Source organism: Homo sapiens, chromosome 12 (genome assembly GCF_000001405.40).
Source record: "Homo sapiens chromosome 12, GRCh38.p14 Primary Assembly".
Taxonomy (NCBI): domain Eukaryota; kingdom Metazoa; phylum Chordata; class Mammalia; order Primates; family Hominidae; genus Homo; species Homo sapiens.
The window spans coordinates 16,927,113-16,949,554 of record NC_000012.12 but is presented as its reverse complement, the minus strand read 5'-3'; the positions used below and the strand labels follow the sequence as shown (position 1 = coordinate 16,949,554).

Below are 22,442 nucleotides of genomic sequence, written 5' to 3'. Positions count from 1 at the left end.
ACACACACAAAGGGTTTTTAAAGGATCATGTAGGAAGATCAACTGATAAGCAGCTAATTTTGTGTACTTAGGGAGCAAACGAGCGGGCACACTCCCACTGGAATACCTAGGGTAACAGGATTAAAAAAAAAAAAAAAGAAAGGAGGAAAGATCTTAAGTACTTTACTATTAACGCTGATCACTAAAATTAAAGATTTACACCACATGACAGGGTGGCTAGCTGTAGCTATTTGGAAGCCTGTGTGTGTGTGTGTGTGTGTGTGTGTGTGTGTGTATGTAAGTGCATGTATAGGGGCATGTATATATGAAATATGAGTTGATATAGTCAAATACATAAAAATATAAAGTTGTTTTTCATGAACTGCTCAGTTATTTTGAAAATTTTCATCAGAAACCACTTTTAAACTAATTGGAGTCTGCAGAAATGAAACCTCATTTTTGGTTCAAGTGAATTTTCTGAAATGTCATTTGATTCGGGAAATATGACTGATCTGCCCGATTTCTTGATAAGAAATGAAATGAGCCGTTGTCCTTCAGGATATCATAGACTTGAAATGGGGGATTTTATGGCTAATGCCATCAGATAGAAGTGTCCTACTTTGAAAGGAGAAGTCCATCAGCCTCAGGGAAAGGCTGAAGTCTGAATTCATCTTTAAATCCGCAACTGCAGTTAAAGCAGTATGGAGCAATAATAGATATTTTTTTCTTAAGTAATTATTGCAAAATAAATGGCAATAAATAATGAGATGGTTGGTATCAAAAAGTTAATAGTTTTGTACTTTCACATTTTCTATTCCACTTTTAGATCATAATGTTGGTGCCTGATATGGAAGTCAGGAGTGAACATAGAGGCTAAATTAGTATATTTGGGCCACAGTATAAGATATTAAATTTTTAGTGGTATGATTAATATAGTCATTCTTATAAAATGCTAATGTCACAATGGAGAGGGAAAACAATAAGAGAATAAAATTGGTAACAGTATACATGAAAAAGTACACATAGCCAGAAGCAAGAAGAAGAATATCTGGGTCATTGACCTCAGGCACAGATGAATAAAAAAGTATGTAGCCATGCTTAAGAAAAAGAAAGCAATGGAATAGACAGTCATCCCACATTGAGGTGGGTGTTTTAAATAGATTGCAACAGACAGGAGAAAACCATTGCAATAAATTTATCCCATATGAAGAAAACTCCTTGTGAACAAAGCTTGTATCTGCTAGCTCACAAAACTACTGACCACTATCTTTACTTTTACCAATCCCACTCTGCACTCCTGGACTGGGTGTTGATATCTTCTCTGTATATGCTTATACGGAGAGACTGGATACCATAAACAGGTATATTTAGAGTTCGGCAACAAATAAAGATTCCCATGAAACTTAGTCAAAATGCAATAGAAAAGGGCTGTGAGAAAGAAAAGATAAAATATAAGATAAGAACAAGCTATGTTTCAAAGTAGTATACTTCAATGCAGAGGGAAAGAGTGGGGGAGATAAGGGAAGAAAAACGTAAAGAGAGCCAGTAGGGATGCAAAATGAAAGAATAAAGAGAATGAAAGCAGCAAAATACACTTGAGAGAAAGGAGAGTGGGGATGGGGATAATGTATTTAACATGTTTTATATTACCTAACTCTTTATTTTTTTAAAAATACTAGCCTAATTACCACCTAGAAATGTGAACACTTTACTCTGAAAATCATATATCAATGTGTTAATGCTAGTCAGTATTTGCTTACATGTGAAAAACAAAATGCTTTACATTTTATCAATAAAATTGACATGCACATAGTTATGATATCAAATTTTATGCACTGACTATTTGTAAATGCTCGCATGTCACAGCTTTCTCATCACTTTCTTAGATATAAAATCTACTTTCTTCAAGGAAAATTACTTTTGGAAACTCAAAACTTCCTTGAAAACAGGCAATCAAAATTCTCAAATATTTAGGAGAGTCACTTATAGTCTAATCCTATATAAACCTAGAATAAGAGTTTTGCAGTTGGTTTGCTGATTAAGATGTGGCTATTCCACAAAATGAAAATATAGGCAAAATTTCAGCACCTCTGTGATGGCTAGATTCTTTTTTAAATGCAATCCCTCTTTTCCTGACTAATAATTTGTATATAGTTAAGACTTAACTACATCTGAGTTTTTTTTGTAATATTTATTCCCTGGCATGTATTTTTATGCCAAAAGCATACATATAAAAGAATGCTAGAAAAGAAGAGTACACAGGTGATTTGTAAATGATTTATTGTGGAAAAGAGATGATTTTTCCATTTTAAAATGTTTAATGTTAATAAGAAGGCATTAACTTCATGAATTTCAATTCCTTAAGCTAAATCAGCAAGTATGTATAAAACATAATAGGAGTGAATTTATTTGCCTTAATTTAAACCAGCCAAAAATGAAAATTGCATTTAGGACTTATATGTAAAGAGACATGCTGTACATTTTCTTTTTTTAACTCTTGGTAAATACATATGACATACAGTAGTCTTAGAGCATGACATACATTTATTTTGTCCCCCATTTTGTACAGCAACCACTGAATAAAGAGTAGCCCAGGAAGAATTACAATCTCATAGGCACTGATATAGCAGTGCTAAGAAGAGATGACATAACTCAGCTTTAGATTGCACCCTCAAGAAATCATGCTGAATTTCACAACAGGTAAGCATCTTGACAAATCCTTCTGAGTATGATGAAAGCAGCTTGCAAAAATAGCATGAGAGTACATCCTGGATAACATCTCAGATACATCAATTTTGTTCCAGGGACCTTTACAGCCCTGCACTTAACTAGAGGTACAGCAAGGTACTTCTTCAACCACATCATTGATCCTACTAAGCCCAGGCAAATAATCTTTTTTTATGCCCAATTTAACTTTTGTTTAAAGGTTTAATATTACACTTTTTTACTTTGGAAATTTTGTCAACTGTATATTGATTTACATGGAAAAATTATTCTGACTTTCACAAATACTGCACATCAGCTAAACCATAGAGGCTCCTTAGAGAGACACTATTTTCAAATTTAGATATTCTGTATGGTTTTTCTTCTAAGTATGATTATTTAAGTGTGCTTATTTGGAGCAGAACAGAAACTTGTTTTATTCCACAAATACCATTATCAAATATTCTAAAGTCTGCACTGAGTTATTCATTTATTTATTTTTTCCATTCAACATCTATTAAGTGAACCTTTTCTATATGCCTAATTGTGTGTAGTTTCTTCACTATTATATTACCAGCAGTTAGCATAATCCCTGACATATAGTAGGCACACAGCAAATGTATTAAATTATTGATTCAAATTTTGGGTACTGTTAAGTAATAGCAGCACAAAAATTGTACTTAAAAAACTAAAATTCTGTATGTTCTTTTTTTTTACTTTTTTGTTTGTACAAATTTATAGGATACATGTGCAATTTTGTTACATGTATAGATTTCATAGTCGTTAAGTCAGGGTTTTAGGTAGAAATTCCATATGTGTCTTATCTGAATTCTAACAGGAAATTATCACTCAAGCAAAGACACAATTATGTGGATAATAAGCACATATATTTACCATACACTGGATGAAAATGTATATTATCCTGTTGCTGAACTAAGCCTCAGGTGGACAAAATTATATATAATAGGGTTTAGAAATACGGCAAAATCCCAGATGTAACCCAGATCAAGAGATTACTCCATCGTTTTACAAAGAGTAGGGGAGGAAAATTAAAGAGTCCTGGTCAGAGAGAATGACAGAGACTAGAAAAGATGGTTCTAAGGACAGAGGCAGCACTGTTTGCTGAGCAAAGATCCTCTTATAGATGGAAGAAACAACTTTGGAGAACCACTAGGAGATATGAAATACTAACAACAGGCAAGTAGCTCATTAATTTCTACATCCTATGTCCTTGGATTAGGAAACAGTGGTTAAAGAATTCAATTGAGATGGCCCCCTCCATATATGTGCTGTTCAAACCTGCTGGTGTCAGAATGTCCACACTTATCAGGAGTACTCTCTGCACAAACCATCAGTATCTACCATAAAGGAGCAAGCAGCCCATTGAGTCTGTAACATAGACAGTGCTTGTTGACATTTCTACTACCATAACTCAGTCTCGACACTACTTCTGACCACTACAAATTCATGGTTAGAAATAAGGAAGTTTAAGGAAATTAAGGTAACTGGAAGGCCATATCACCCCCAAATTTTTCAACATTCTCTGAAGCCGATGAAGGCAGAAATCAGATTTATCCATGTAGATAGAAGTGGGAGAAATAGACCTTTACATTCTTTTCACTATTTTCAAATTATGGAGGCCACAATGATCATTTAAGACACTAACCAATTTAAAGTGAAAAAAAAGATGTGATATAATTTAAATTGATATTATATTTTCTTACATTTTTCTCTAGGACTATATACAAAAATAGTAGTTGGAAAAATGAATATGTAAGTGAATGAATGTGAATAAAAATACATCTGTTTATAAGAGACAATTTTGTGAAAAAACGAATTACTATTGAATGCTAAATATATTATTTCCTATAACATTACATATTTCATAATTTAAAAATTCTAATGTGATGATCCCTATATCTACGCTAATACTTTTTAAAATCAGGGCGAGAATGTTTACTGACCAGAGAACTTTTAAAGTATCAAACTACAGCTTTAAGAGACTCTTCACAATTTATTGATTACATAAATTAGGTTTTTAAATCATTAGAAAATGTACTGCACAAGACAATCCAAATAACTTGTGACCGTAAGTTGCAAAATCAAGTTATTTGTACTTATTTGCATAAGTGTTGCTCTCCCTAGATAAATCTGGCAGTGCTAATATAACCTAAGAATGTTGCATCAAATATAAATATTACAGTCATTTATTCTTATTATTGTGAATAATGTACAGGAAAAATAAACCTGAAAAATATAATTACAAAAAAAACGTTCAAAATTATTTGTGGCTTCAGCTTCTAAATATGGTAGAGTAACAGACTGAATTTATTTTCCCATCTTCAACACCTAGAAAATAAAATAAAATATATCAAATGATAATTTTCAAACGCTGGAAATAAAGAGAATGAGATTGAGAGAAGAAAAACAAATGAGTTGAGCCTTCTTATTGTGCCAGTGTATTGCCTGAAAGCAATTTCCAATCTAAGGGGTGGGAAAGGAGATTCCAAACAGCCCAGGACCCTTTGTGTTGTTGAGATAAAATGGAATTTGGGAAGAGCAAAGTGGCTGTAATTTGTAACAATAATGAAGAATATGTACTGAGAGAGAGAGAGAGAGAAAGAGAGAATGTCCAGAAAGCTTCAGTTTAATCCTTCCCTGGACATTTATTAGAAAAATCATGAATTTACCTAAAGTTGCAAAAGAAAACTACTGGGAAAGGGGGGCTGAACAATTATTATAGTTCACAGAAGCCTATATATTTGTTTGCTCACCAGCCAGAGAGAAAAGACCTATAATACAAGCAGCAGGAGTAGAGATTTTTAAAACGTAATGCATAAGCAGTGGGGCTAAAATAGTCCTAGATTAAAGGGTGCTCTGCATTTGTCATAAAAAACCTTAAGGGCAAGGCTCTAAAGAATGTATTAGATTTCTCATTCCACGACCAAATCAAAAAGTGTTTAAAGGAATACAACAAAATCTATCACCCTGCAATATAAAATACACATCGTACTCATCCAGTAAAAAATCAAATGTTCTATTAAATTGCATAGTTAAAATTTGCTTAAATGTTCTCAATCTAAAACAAAACAAAAAGGGTACTAGGTGAGGTGACATATTTTAACTAACTTCATAGTGGTAATCATTTCACAAAATATATGCATATATTAAATTATCATATTCCCCTTAAAACCATACAATTTGTCAGTTATACTTCAATAACGCTAATTTTTAAAATTCAAGTTTCAATACTACTTTCTGAGCAATTCAAAGAGCAATTAGAAAATCAGTAAGGTACAATAGAATCCAATAACACAATATTCTTGACCAAATAAATTGATATTTATGGAACACTACAGCAATTAGCAGCAGGTATGGATTACATTCAAGTGCAAATGCAACATACACCTAGTCTAAGCAATAAAAGTACCCACAAATTTAAAAGAAAAAAAAAAACTATGCAAAATATATTAGCTGACCCCAGTAAAATTAAACTAGAATCAATAGCAAACAATGTCTGAAAATCAAATATTTAGAAATTAAACAATGTATTTCTAAATAATCCACAGGTCAATAACAAAACCACAAGGGAAATGAGACAATACAATTGAATATAAATGAGTGCATAACATACTAATTATTGTGAGATGAAGGTAGAGCAGTTCGAAAGGGTACTTTATAGCAGACAAAGCAAGAAAGTTCTCAAATTATTGGTGTATGATTTGACTTTTAAAGACTAGAGAAAAAGGCTGGGTGCGGTGGCTCACGCCTGTAATCCCAACACTTTGGGAGGCGGAGGCAGGTGGATCACAAGGTCAAGAGTTCAAGATCAGCCTGGCCAAGATGGTGAAACCCCATTTCTACTAAAAATACAAAAATTAGCAAGGTGTGGTGGCGGGTACCTGTAATCCCAGCTACTCAGCAGGCTGAGGCAGAGAATTGCTTGAACCCGGGAGGCAGAAGTTGTAATGAGCTGAGATTGTGCTACTGCACTCCAGCCTGGGTGACAGAGCAAGACTCCATCTCAATTAAAAAAAAAAAAAAAAAAGACTAGAGAAAAAGAATAATTAAATAAAAAAACAATTAAAACAGTGAGAATAAATCAAATAGAAAACAGAAAAATAAGCCCAGGAAGCTCAAAATTGCTCTTTTTAAAGTTCAATAAAATTGCTAAATATCAAGTAGGATGGCCCCCTCCATATACATGCTGTTCAAACTTGCTGATGCCAGAATGTCCACACTTATCAGGAGTACTTTCTGCACAAACCATCAATATCTACCATGAAGAAACAGCTAAACTGTTGAGAAGAAATAAAGGGAAGACACAGATGACCAATCAGAATTTTAAAATAAAACAACAGTGCAGAACCCACAATATTTAAATGGTGAGAGAATATTATGAGCGATTTACTCAAATCAAGCAAACCACCAAAGCTCACTCATTAAAGAGCAACAAAAAAAACTAAATATTCCTATATTTAAAAGTAATTACATTTGCAGCAAAACTTTTCACAAAGAAACTCTAAGCCCATAAGATTGTAGTGGTAAATTCTAGCAAACACTTAAAAAAATACAAGTCTAGACAAGCTCTTCTGGAAAATAAAACAAGAGGGTACACATCTCTACTCCTTGTATGATGGAGTATTAATAAGATGCTTAGAATGGTTATTGCAACAAAATTACAAATAAATTACAAATATCTCTAAACATGGATTCAAAAATAATATCTCAAATTTAGCTTATTGAAGTTAGCCACATAAAAAGGTAACACATCATAACCAGGTTGAATTTGTCCTGGGAATACAAGGTGGTTTAACATTCATAAATCAATCATTGTAATTCACTCTAGTAAGAGACTAAAATATAAAAATATATAAGCATCACAATAGATTCAGAATAGATTTGTAAATGGCAATTATCAAAATTCAACACACATATTTTTGAAAAAGAAAACATTTCTTATCCAACTACATAAAGCACAACTCTATAACTTTCATCACATGTACAGGTGAATAACTAATTATTTTTCCCTAAGATCTTAAATACAGCACAATAATATCCATTATTCCCACTTCTAGAAAATATTTTAGTGGAAATCCTCATCAGAAAAATAAGAGAAAAGAAGAAAAAAGTAAAACTATAAGAAGGAAATAAAATATCTTGATTCAGATTATGAGACTGACGCGCTGCTGGCTGCACTAATAGGGCTCGTAAAATATCTTGATTGAAATGACTGACTAGACGTAGCCACAATACATCTCTTCCAGAGAGAGCAACCAAAATATCAAGTATACCTCACACTTTGAACAGATCTTTTGAGCAAAAGCATTGAAATCTGATAGGTAATGAAAGACACTGGAGATATACCTAATGTAAATGACGAGTTAATGGGTGCAGCACACCAACATGGCACATGTATACATATGTAACAAAACTGCAAGTTGTGCACATGTACCCTAGAACTTAAAGTATTTAAAAAAAAAAAAAAGAAATTGTGGTTGAAAAGGGAGGAAGAAGGGCAGCCTGTTTGGAGTCTTCAGGTGCCAGACTGGCCCCCAGACCAGGACTGGACCCAGGGTACAGATAAATGAAGAAATCCAGGGAACTACATTTCCACCGTGGACCTCTGAGATCATAGCTACAGGAGTTCCCATGAACCCTGCAGACCTCTGGACTGGCAAGAGGAGCTGCCTGGAGAACACACAGAGGTACTGCTTGAACTTGGTGGAGCCTAGAAGGCTTGGCTGTGAGAGGCAGCTGCAACAAAAGATGACTCTGGGCACTCATCCCCCAAGGCCCTACATCCTGCAATGAGTGGTTGCAGCTCATGCTGTTTTCCTTGCCAGAAAAGAGTGGGTCCAGGCATGCTCAGATGCCCCAGAAAGGACCTATAGCCATTGCCATGGGACCAAGGTGCATATGAACCAGGCACACCTTTCCCTGCCAACCCCTACCAAGGCTGCCTGCCTGGCTGTTCCCAGGGGAGTGGGGGCACCGAATTCCCTTCATTGTCCCATCTGAGTGGCCTGGGAGCAGCTTCCCCCTATCAAAGCTGGTGCTTGACCCCAATGGACAAGAGGACAAAATCGCTGGCCCAGTCCCAGTTCCTTAGGACTGGAGCACACCATCCAGGGGTATAGAGATGAGATTTATGGCCTAATCTTCAGCAAAGAAGGAGTTCCCACTGTTAGGACACAGAGAATAGTGTGACATGGGTTTGTGTGGTGGTATGGGAGCTGGGCGCCCTTCCATTAGTGAGATCAGACTGGGGACGATGTGGCTTGATAGTCCTTGTTTCTCCCCCAGGGAGTCCCATAGTCCAGAATGCCTGAAGTGGCTTAGTGATCTGGGTGTAGACAGTTTGGGACAAATCTAGCTGGTTGGGCCTGTTGCTGGGGCCAGAGGCTTGGAGAGAGACCCCTGGGTACAGGAACTGAGCTTATCACACTTCGTGGTCACCATTTAGGTTAAAAATCCCCAGGTTGCCACTCCTCCACTAAGTTAGATATGTGGCAAAGGAATAGCAACTTTGCCTCTCCTAGGAGGGTTGTTCCAGTCACCTGAAAGCTGCCGCTAAACTCCCAGCAAGATCAGTGCTTTCACCAGCCTTGGAGAGCCTAGTCATGAGCTTGTCCAACCCAGCCCCACCCAATTTGGCCCGATTCAGTCACCATGGTGGCAGAGTGTGAAACAGTAACCCTGGGATCCTCAGGTCCTACCCATTGCCAGGAACACCCAGGTACTTCCGGTAATCAACAAAGGCCAAGTAAATATTCCAATGCCAATATTGCAATTGCCTCTTGCCTGCAAGCACCACCTTGTGGCTGAGACGTTAACCTGCAGAGTCTGTCACAACTTCTGACGTATTTGTACAGCACTCAGCCAGCTCTCACCCACAATTGCCACCTACTGTCCAGTAGCATGTACTGCACAACCAAATATAATTTTTGCTGACAGAGAAAACGCTGGGAAAGGACACAAGCCTCCAGAGACCTCCACTACCTTTTTCCTGTAAAAGACAGTGAGCCTGACCACAAGTGCACCCCATCACTACTACAGCCACAAACAATTAACATTTAAGAAAGCCACTACACTATAGCTCTCTACAACCAAGGAATTCCAACAGACCCTTCTGGAGGATAAGGGTCTGTAGGAATTCCTAGAAGCAAAGCCAAAAGACCCTTTGCAGCATACACAATAGTTACATCCTCAAGGGTTGGGGAAGTGAATCCCACTCAAACAAAAATAAATTAAAAAATAAGAAGTAACGGTTTCTACAGGTGAGAAGAGACCAGCACAAGAATTCCAGCACCATGAAGAAACAAAATGTTGTGACACGCACAAACAACCACACTAGTTCTCTATTAATGGATGATAACCAAAATGAAAACTTTGAAATGACACATAAAGAATTGAAAATATGGATTGTAAGGAGCTCAAAGAGAACCAAGAGAAAGTTGAAAATCATCACAAAGAAATCAGAAGAGTAATGCAGGAGATGAAAGATGAGATAGCTATATTAAAAAATAGACCAAACAGAACTTTTAAAAATAAAAAATTCACTGAAGAAATTTCAAACACAGTTGAAAGCTTTAACAACAGACTAGACCAAGCAGAGGAAAGAATTTCAAAGGCTGTAGCCCAGAATTTAAAGTTAACCCCATCATACAAAAATGAAGACAAATAATTTTTTAAATGAACAAAGCTTTTGAAAAATTTGAGATTATGCTAATGGATCAAACTTATAACTCACTGGCATTTCTGAGAAAGAAGAAGGAAATGTGGAAAAGATATTTGGGGAAATAATTTAGAAAATATCCCTAATCTTGCTAGAGAGGTAGACATTCAGATATAAGAAATTTGGAGAACACCTGTAAGATACTATACAAAATTAGCATCACCAAGGCATATAGTTATCAGATTATCTAAGTTCTATGCTAAAGAAAAAAATCCTAAAGGCACCTAAGGAAAAAGACCAAATCACTGAGGAAGGTAATCCCATCAGACTAATAGTAAACTTCTCAGCAGAAACTTTTTCAAGACAGAAGAGATTGGGGGCCTATTTTTAGCCTTCTTTAAAAAAAAATTGCCAGACGAGAATTTTGCATCCTGCAAAACTAAGCTTCATAAATAAAGGAGAAATAAAATCTTTCCCAGAAAAACAAACCTAAAGGAAATGAAAGCACAATACTTCTGTTACCATAAAAAGCATATGTAAGCACATGTAAGTAAAAAGTTAACAGATTCTATAAAGCAATTATGCAATTGAAACTACAAAGCAACTAGCTAACAGCACTAGGACAGGAACAAAACCTCACATGTCAATATCAACTTTGAATGTAAATGGACAGAATACTTCATTTAAAGAATATACTATGGCAAATTGGATTTAATATATAAGACCCAATCAGGAGTTCGAGACCAGCCTGGCCAACATGGTGAAACCCCATCTCTATTAAAAATATAAGAATTAGCCAGGCGTGGTGAAGTGCATCTGTAGTCCCAGCTACTCAGGAGGCTGAGGCAGGAGAATTGCTTGAACCCGGTAGGCGGAGGTTGAGGTGAGCTGAGACCGTGCCACTGCACTCAATCCTGGGTGACAGAGCGAGACTCTATCTCAAAAATAATAATAATAATAATAATAATAATAATATACATATATGACCCAATCATCTGTTGCTCTCAAGAGACTCACCTAACCTGTAATGACACTCACATACTTAAAGAGACAGAGAAATACATGTCACACAAATGGAAACCAAAAAACAGCAGGGGTTGCTATTACTGTATCAGATAAAACAGACATTAAACGAACAACAGTTTTAAAAAAGACAAAAAGGGCATTATATTATGATAAAGACTTCAAGTCAACAAGATTTAACTATTTTAAATACATACACACTCAACACCAGAGCACCCACATTTATAAAACAGTTTCTACTGGACCTACAGAAAGAGGCAGGCAGCTATACAATAATAATGGGAGATTTCAACACCCTACTGACAACACTAGACAGATGATTGAGGCAGAAAACTAGCAAAGAAGCTTTGGGTTCAAATTGGACTTTTGACCAAATGGACCTTAGGCATCTACAGCACATTTCACCCAATGATGGCAGAATACATGTTCTTTACATCTATGCATGGAACATTCTCCAAAATTGACCATATGCTTGATCATTAACAAAGTCTCAATAAATTCCAAAATCAAAATCATATCAAGCATCTTCTCAGACCGCAGTGGAATAAAATTAGAAATAAACCCAAAAAGGAGCTCTGAAAACCACACAAATACATGGAAACTAAACAACCTGCCCCAGAATGACTTTGGGTAAACAACAAAATTAACGCAGAAATCAAAAACAAATTTTGAAATAAATGAAAGTAGAGGCACAGCACACCAAAACTTCTGGGATACAGCACAAATAGTGTTAAGAGGAAAGCTTACAGTGCTAAATGCCTATATCAAAATCAGAAAGGCCTCTTATTAACAACTTGATGTTGCACTTTAAGGAACTATGAAAACAAGAACAAACCAAACCAAAAGCTAGCAAAAGAAATGAGATAACAAAGATCAGAGCTAAACTAAATGAAATTGAGGCAAAAACGTCATGCAAAGGATTGATGAAACAAAAAGCAGGTTATTTGAAAGAATAAATAGAACTGATGATCTGCTAGCTAGATGAACCAAGAAAATAAGAGACTGGTTGGGTGCGATGGCTCATTCCTGTAACCCTAGCACTTTGGGAGACTGAGGCAGGAAGATCACTTGAGCTCAGGAGTTCGAGCCCAGCCTGGGCAACATGTTGAAACCCCATCTCTATAAAAAATACAAAAAAAAAAAAATAGCCAGGTCCAGTAGTGCATGCCTGTAACCTCAGCTACTTGGGCAGGTGAGACAGGAGGATTGCTTAAACTCAGGAGGTCAAGGCTGCAATGACCTGAGATCACACCACTGCACTCAAGCCTGGGTGACAAAGTGAGACCATGTCTCAAAAAAAAAAAAAAGAGAGAGAGAGAATTCAAATAAGCACAATCAGAAATGATAAAGGTGATGTGACAAATGATACCACAGAAATACAAAAGATCTTCAGAGACTACTGTGAACATCTCTATGAGCACAAGCTAGAAAACCTAGAGAAAATAGACACATTCTTGGAAACATGTAATTGCTCCTTATTGAACCAGGAGTACACTGAAATACCAAATGGACTGAATTAAGATTTATGAAATTAAATCAGCAATAAAAAAACCTATCAACCAAAAAATCTAAGACCAGATGGATTCACAGTCAAATCTACCATACATACTACGAATCTTACTGAACCAATTCCAAAAAATCAAGGAGGACAGATACTCATTTTATGAAATCAGTATCATCCTGATACCAAAACCTGATAAGAACATAACAACAAAAAATACTACAAGCCAATATCTCTGATGGACATAGATGCAAAAGTTTTCAATAAAATACAAACAAAATTTAGCAGCACATTAAAGAGATAATTCATCATGGTCAAATGCATTTTATTCCAGGGATGCAAGGATGATTCAACGTATGCAAATCAACAAATGTGTCACCACCCAAACAGAATTAAAAATAAAAACCAGACAGACACGGTGGCTCACGCCTGTAATCCCAGCATTTTGGGAGGCTGAGGTGGGTGGATCACGAGGTCAAGAGATTGAGACCGCCCTGGCCAACATGGTGAAACCCCATCTCTACAAAAAAATACAAAAACTTAGCTGGGCATGGTGACGCAAATCCGAGCTACTCAGGAAGCTGAGGCAGGAGAATCGCTTGAACCTGGGAGGTGGAGGTTGCAGTGAGCCAAGATCACTCTACTGCACTCCAGCCTGGTGACAGAGCAAGACTCCATCTCAAAAAAAAAAAAAAAAAAAAAAAAGATAAATAAATAAATAAAATAAAAGCCATATGATTATCTCAAAAGATAAAAGAAAATAATTCAATAAAATCCAACATCTCTTCATGATAAAAACCCTCAACAAATTAGGCATCAAAGGAACATACCCCAAAATAACAAGAGCCAACTATGACAGACCCATGGGCAACATCATACTGAATATGGGGAAAAGACGAAATCATTTTCTCTAACAATTAGAATAAGACAAGGAGATCCATGCTCCTCACTCCTGTTCAACATAGTATTAGAAGTCCTAGCCAGAGTAATCAGGCAAAAGAAAAAAATTAATGAATCCAAATAGGAAAAGAGGAAGTCAGATTATCTCTGTTCACTGATTACACAATCTTATACCAAGAAAACCCTAAAGATTCCTTCCAAAGACTCCTGATAAGTGACTTTAGTAATGTTTCAAGATACAAAATTAATGCACAAAGATCATTTGCATTTCTTTACACCAACAATGCTCAAACTGACAATCAAATCAGGAACTCAATCACACTTAAAATAGCCACAAAAATAATAAAATATCTAGGAATACATTTAACCAAGGAGGTGAAAGACTTCTACAAAGAGAACTATAAAGTACTGATGAAAATATCATAGATGACACAAACAAATGCAAAAATACCCCATGTTCATGGACAGGAAGAATTAATATCATTAAAATGACTGTACTGCCCAAAGCAGTCCACAGCTTCAAAATAATTCCTATAAAAATATCAATGTCATTTTTCACAGAAATAGAAAAAAATTATATGTATATGGACTGAAAAAAGAGCCTAAATAGTGAAAACAATAAACAACAATAACAACAACAACAAAGTCAGAGGCATCACATTACCCAACTTTAAACTATATTACAAGGCTATAGTAACCAAAATAGGATGGTACTGGTACAAAAATAGACACATAGGTCAATGGAACAGAAAAGAGAACCCAGGAATAAGGCCACACACCTACAGGCAACTGGTGTTTGTCAGAGCTGACCAAAATAAACAATGGGGAAAGAACACCCTATTCAGTAAATAGTGCGGGGAAAACTGGCTATCAGAACAGTGAAACTGGACTCCTACTTCTCACTATAAACAAAAAGTAATGAAAGATGGTTTAAAGGCTTAAATGTAAGACCTCAAACTATACAACCTTATACCCATTAAGCAACATGTCCTCATATCCCATTCCATCCCTGGTAACCACCACTTTATTGTTTACTTCTATACCTATGACTATTCATTTATAGATGCCTCATTTAAGAGGAATCATTCACTATTTATGCTTCCGTGACTGACTTATTTCACTTAGTGTAATGCTCACTTTTAATGTACAGACTTACCCAAACATTAACTCAAGATGGATTAAAGATTTAAACATAAGAACTGAAACTATAAAATTCTACAAGAAAACCTAGAAGAAACTTTTCTGGACATTGACCTTGTCAAATAATTTATGACTAAGACCTCAAAAGCAAATACAAGAAAAATAAAAATAGACAAAAGAGACTTATTAAACTAAAGAGCTGCTGCACAGCAAAAGGAACCATCAACAAAGCAAACAGTCAGCCTACAGAATGGGACAAAATATTCGCAAGCTATGCATCTAACAAAGATCTAACATCCCGGATCTATAAGGTAAAGAACCAACAAGGAGAAAACAACTCCATTAAAAAGTGGGCAAAAGACGTGAACTGACAATTCTCAAAGATGATATATAAATGGCCAACAAACATATGAAAAACTTCTCATCACTAATCATCAGATAAATAAAAATTAAAACCACAATGGGATATTATCCTACACCAGCCAGAATGGCTATTATTAAAAAGTCAAAAAATAAAGAGGTACGGTGAGGATGTGGAGAAAATGGAACACTTATACACTGTTGGGGTGAATGTAAATTAATTCATCCTCTATGGAAAACAGTATGGAGAGTTCGCAAAGAACTAAAAATAAATCTGCCATTCAACCCAGCAATCCCACTACTAGGTATCTACCTAAAGGAAATCATTTTATCAAAAAGATAAAATTCCGCAGAAATTAACAATGGAACTACTAACTATATGATTCAGTAATCCCACTTCTGAGTATATGTCTGAAAGTATTGAAATCACCACCTCAAAAAAGATATCTGTTCTTCTATGTTCACTGTAGTATCATTTACAATAGCCCAGATATGTAAACAACACAAATGTCCATTGACAACTGAATGGATAAAGAAATTATGGTATATGTAATCAAAGGAATATTATTCCTCACTTAAAAAATGAAGGAAATCCCATCACTTGCAACAACATGGATGGACCTGGAATACATTATGCTAAGTGAAGTAAGTCAGTCACAGAAGAACGAATGGTGCATGATTCCTCTTAAATGAGGCAAAAATATAAAGGTATCATCATATGTATAGAAGTAGACAATAAAATGGTGGTTAACAGGGATGGACATGTTGCTCAATAAGTATAAAGTTACAGTTACAAAAAATGAGAAAGTTCCAGAGATCTGCTGTACCACATGGTGCCTACAGTGAATGAAAAAGTATTTTGTATTTAAACACTTTTCAAAATTGTAGATCTCATGTTAAAGTGTTCTTACCCCACAACCCGACCCCCACACACAAGGAGCAATGGGACACAAGGAATCTTCTGGAGGTCATGTCTATGTTTATTAATTGGATTGTGCTGACAGTAATACAAGTGAATACATATGTCCAAACTCACAATATTGTATACCTTAACTATGGACAATTAGCTGTACATCAATTATATCTCAATAAACTGGAAAATTGTACTAAACCTCAAAATAAAAATTCCTTCAAAAAATAAATAAAAATATACGACATTCAGTGGGATTAAAAAATTATGAAATCCTTAGAGAAAAATTTTAGTAAAACATGTGCAAGACCAATATACTGAAGAATACTATATATTGCTGATATATATTAAGGGAACCAAATAAATGGAGAGAAATTCTATGCTCACGCATTGGAATACAATTATCTTAACATGTCAATTATCTCCTATTTGATATTTAAGTTCAGTTAAGTACAATCAACTCTTAGTATGTTTTTTTAAAATTGGCAAACTGATTCTATAATTTATGTGAAAACTTAGGGCACCCATATTACTTAAAAATAACTGATCCATGAACCACAGATGAATCTCAATATGTTATGCTAATTGAAAAAGCTAGAAAAAGCTAGATATAAAAGAATAGATATCATTATTCCATTTATATAAAGTTCTAGAAAGGGAAAAATTATAGTGACAGAAATTATATCAGTGGTTGTGAGACACTAGGATTGAAAGGATGGTATTGATTACCCAGCAACATGGGTGAACATTTGAGGATATAGTAATGGTGTATATTATGATTTTGTTGATTTGTCAAAATTTATCGAGTAGAACATATAAAGTAGATACATTTGTACTATATTGATAGCTCTCATAAAAAAACAATTAAAATTTTGTACAGGAAAACCAATTTTCTCCCTATTCAAGATTCAGTCTTAAAATTGATGGTCATATTTACTTTGATAGATGATTTAAGAATGTTGTGGTAGTGATTCAAGAAGGTAAATCTAACATAAAGCTTTCTAAAACTATACGATCCTGGGTAAATAATTTAATAAATGAGTGAACAAATGAATGTAACAATGAATAAAAATTTAGAATATGCAAATGAGCAGGAGCAATACTGATTGTTTCACAATTAAAAGACTATAAGTGGCCGGGCATGCTGGCTCACACCTGTAATTCCAGCACTTTGGGAGGCCAAGGCGGGTGGATCACTTGAGGTCAGGAGTTCGAGACCAGCCTGACCAACATGACGAAACCCCATCTCTACTAAAAATACAAAAATTAGCTGGGCATGGTGGCTTGAACCTGTAGTCCCAGATACCCAAGAAGCGGAGGCATGAGAATGGCTTGAGCCTAGGAGGTGGAGATTGCGGTGAGCAGAGATCATGGCACTGTACTGTAGCCTAGGTGATACAGCAAGACTCTATCTCAAAAAAAAAAAAAAGATAATAAGTATTTGTATCTTTGAGGTGGTCATAAACTGGAGTTATATAAACTAAGAATTTGTGAATGTACATGCAATTGTGTATGAGAGAGTGCTAAAGAGAGGTTTTCGGTGAAAAACAATGTTATTGACAGAACAAACAGATTCAAGCAAGTTCCCTGAGTATGTTCAAAAGACGTAGAATAGAAGACATTGAATTTACTCTTTTTGTGTTTCACTTACGGCCAAAACTTCTAGTATTGTAATATTACAGAGGGCTAAAATTTCATATGGGGAAAAATAGCTTCCCAAAATACCAATGCAGCTACATTTGTATTAAAATGCTAATAACAAAATATATTTCATAAATGCAAGATGTCCCAAACATAGACACTGATGTCAAAGTTTTCACATGGCAAGCAAAACCAGAAATGCTTGATACTATAATGGAAAGTAATACAATCCTTTAACAGGGAGACCACTTAGACATGGTTCTTTCAAACACCACCACCATTTCCACCTATTCCTTTTACAGATTATACAATGAAAATTTATAAGTGTGCATTAACTTACCTAAACTCACAGAGTGACAGAGCCTAACCAGGAAGCCAAAACTCTGGATTTTTACCAGTGTTCCTTTTACAATGCCACAAAGCCTCATATTCATCAAGACGTTTTTCAATTGGGAATAGGTAATGCTAAGGTTATAAAAAACATCTCGAAGTGCCTCTTGGGAAATCACAAACTTACTCCTCAGATTTAGAGCAGTCCCTCAGGGCAGATTTGTAGTTTTCTGTCAAAAGCAACAAGTCTTTCACCAGTCAAATTTCACCTATCTCATGCATTTTCAAAGTCAAAAAATCATGGATTCCAGCAATGAATGACAACACGAATGGATTGTAAAACACGCTCATGACCAATGTTGAAACTAGGTGTTGAAATGATAAAATGCCAGGATTGCAAGGCATGGATAACAGATATATAGTAGGCTTTCATCACTTGTTAAACGATATATAATTTATCTGGATAAAATGCTTTTTAATGCATTTACAGAAGTAACCAAATTGTTATCTAAATATCACTGACATGTTTGGTTACATACAAATGTAGTACAATATACTCTTTTGAAAGAACAAATTCAGACCATATGATCAGTGTAATCACTTTATAAAATATTTACTTTAGCCATACAGTACAATGAAGGGAAGATGTTTTGCCAACAGTATAGTTTATTAGTCTTTTAAAAAAATTCTTCACTTACCCACTTTCTGTAGGAGAGTTTAAATGCAAAGTAAGATATTCTTAATAAATAGTTTATTTTATTCAAAATATTTTAGTGATAATTTTGAAGGTGTTGAGAGTAGACTATATGAACTAAATTTTCTTGAATAGATCATTTTGTTTTTGTTATTCAGATTACTTTGGTAAATGATTTTGAGTGGGATGTGAAGAAAGCAATGTGTTCAAATCAATGGACACTAAATATTTTTATATGTGATACATTGCATATAATCTTTATAAAATTTCTAAAAGGATATATTCTTATACAATTTACATATGAAGAAACAGAGAGTTGGAAGAGAAACTTACTAAGATAATCAAAGAATATACAAAAGCTGGAATTCTGAATGAAGCCTCTCCTAGTTCTGACATGACAATGTCCTACAGAGGTATCAGAGAAGATCTATGTGGACAAGTTTCTTTGGTGGAAAAGAGTTCCCGTGATGGTTAATTTTGTGTGTCAATTTGGCTAGGCCACAATACCCAGATATTTGGTCACACGTTAGTCTTGATGCTGTTACAAATGTATTGTTTTAGATAACATTCACATTTAAATCAGGAGTTTTGAATAAAACATACTACCCTCTACAATGTTGGTGGGCTTCATCCAATAAATTGAAGGCCTTAAGGAAAAAAGACTGACTCACCCAAAGAAGAGGAAGTTTTCCCTGCAGTCTGCCTTTGGACTTGAGCTACAACATCAACTCTTCCCTTGGTCTCGTCTGCTGGCCTATCCTGCAGAAGTTGGACTTGCTAATCTCCACAATTGCATGAGTCAGTTCCTTTATTTTCTTAAAATAAATTAGGTAAATGATGGATAGATAGGTAGATATAGATCTATTGTTTCTCTTTCTGTGAAGAACCCAGACTAATACAGTTCCTCATTTATTATCAAAGCCAACTGAATAGCTTTTCCAATCACCCAACGGCCTGCCTAAATTTTCATGAGCTAATTCATAGAACAAACCATAGGCAGCCACACATAGAATCAATATATGAAATACACATAACATCATAATGCCAGGAAATGTCCTGCGAGCTAAACGGTAACATAAATTACTAAAAGTCTCTTCGAAATTGGTCTATGTAACATAAGGTTTGGAAATTCTGAAAGTCCTTGACAATGTAAAAATTAATTGGTCAATATAGGAAGCAAATGCCTTTTAGAGTTAACTACTTGGAGTTTTCTTAATCCACTTACTTTTTGGCAAAAGTTTAATTATGCATGAATATTCCCTGAAAATATATATTTAGGTGAGCAAGCATTTTTGTCTTTCAGTTACAAAAGAATCCCATGAGCTATATCCACATAATAAAACTTTCAAAGAGAACAAAGTTTCATTAAACTGAATACATTAGAAATTTGACCCATAATTGATATTATACTAAAATCAATTCTTATTTATTTGTCCAAGATTATGTGAAAATGAAGTTAAAAGAATTTAAATGTAAACCTGAGGACAGGGAGCAGGTTCAGACTATATGAGAAAATAAGCTAAAGTATGAACATAGGTTAGTTACCACCTAGAGTTTGGTCACAGTGTCTTTTTGCATGCCCTATTTGACTTTCCACCCTCTCAGTCCTATTTACTCTCCCCTAAGGTTACCACACCGTGAACTATAAACACACTAGGCTCAGTATTCTCTATATAAAATAACATCATCATACATTGAGGAGCTAGCTAGTCATCTAATAAATAGCCTTTTGACTTATTGCTAATGCTTGGTCCTTTTTTTGTGTCCAGTTCTAACACAAGATTGTGCATATGTGTGCTTTTAGTTTTTTGTTTTTTTACTTTTCCCTTTCTGACAGCAACTAGATTTCATTTTAGAAAATTCACCCTGTGCCACTGGGGACAGTACTGGTAGGAGAGTAAATTCAAACACCATGTTTTTCTGCTGTGAAAACAAATGGCCTTCGAAGGTTCTAATAAAGTCTTTCTTTCAGACTTTTATTAGTCATATGGCCAAGGAGTAGGTCTGTGACCTAATTTTAGCCAAATAAACTACTCTCAGTAATTGAATCTTGAGCTAAATCACATATGAAAGTAAAAAATAATTGGAGAACATTTATTTTTGTGATAGTGGCACAAGAGTTTTGGTGTTCTAGTTTTTTCCTGTCCTAACTCTATATGTAGTTCTCTAGCCTTTTATCAATACAGTAAGATACAAAATTACTTTGTGATGAATTCTTAAACTAGTTTATTGTGGAATTTAAATTCACTAGGGAATAAATATGAATTGGTTTTATTATTTAACAATAACTGCCACCCCAAATAAGTTATGCCTAATCCTCTCTCTCACTGGGTAGTAGGTCACTTAATAACATCTTGATCAGATTCCGTAACTTTAAAAAGTGTTTAATTTCTTAAACTTAAATTTCAGGCATGCCCCTGTGGACGCAGACACCATGTTCACCCCAGAGTCAGACTGATCTTTGCAGACTCAGGCTCAAAGCCAACACCAGCAGAAAGCCAGCTACTGTGGACCCAGATTTTAAGTTGGTCTCAACAAACACAGCTGCAGGTTGGCCCTTATGGATCCAGTTGACAGGCTCCTACCTTTAGGACCTAATGAAACCAGGCCAGATTATATGGGATCAGGATTCATGCCTATCCTAGGGGACCCAATCTCCAGGCTTGCCCTGGGGGAGCCAGGTTCCAGGTCTGACTCCACATTCCCAAGCACCTAGTTGGTGCCTTTGGATCTAGGTGCCAGTCCTGCCTACCCGCTGACCCAGAAACCAAACCAAGACACCCTGTTTTCATGTTACAGCAGCAGGTCTGCCTGCAGACCTCACCACATGGCCCACTAAGAATCTATGACAGGCTGTGTGGTGAAGAGCTTTCTCGTCAAAGCCAGTCTGTAAAGATTAGAATAGGTATCCACTTCTTCAAAAGCTCAAACACCAATGTAAAGCCACAAGAATCAGTAATAATAAGGGAAACATGACACTACCAAAGGAGCAATATAATGCAACAGATATAGACCCTAAAGAAATGAAGATCTATGAACCACCAGATAAAGAATTCAAAATAGTCATCTAGAAGAAACTCAGTGAGGTATAAGAAATACAACTAAAAAGAGCAAAAAGAAAAATATTTATTAACAAAAACGGAAGTTTAACAAAGATAGAAGCTATAAAAATTAATAAAACAGAAATTCTGGAGTTAAAGAATATGAGGGCTGAGCCAAAAAGTTTCACAGAGAGCTTGAACAGCAGACTTGATCAGGCAGAGGAAAGAATGAGTGAATCCAGAGACAGAACATTTGAAATGACACAGTTAAAGGAACAGAAACTAAAAAGAAAACAAAAAGAGTGAAGAAAGCTTACAGGACCTACAAGGCAACATCAAGGAAATGCATATATGTATTATGGAAATTACATAAAGGATTAGAGAGAGAAAGAGACGGAAAGCTTACTTGAATAAATAATTACAGAAAACTCTTCAAGTATGGAGATAAACATCAAAATCCATGAAGTTCCCAAAACCCAAATAAAATGGATATAAAGAGATTTTCACCAAGACATTTTATAATCAATTTCTCAGAAATCAAA

At 35.3% G+C, this 22,442-nt stretch overlaps 1 long non-coding RNA gene across 1 annotated transcript in view; it reads left to right on the top strand.

Moving 5' to 3' along the window:
* The window catches only part of LOC105369677 (uncharacterized), a 200,713-nt gene that overhangs the window by 39,079 nt on the left and 139,192 nt on the right, over window positions 1–22,442 (top strand). The window contains exon 3 of the long non-coding RNA XR_931397.3: window positions 2,549–2,679. This is a non-coding gene — a long non-coding RNA (uncharacterized LOC105369677). The remainder of the gene's footprint in view (window positions 1–2,548; window positions 2,680–22,442) is intronic.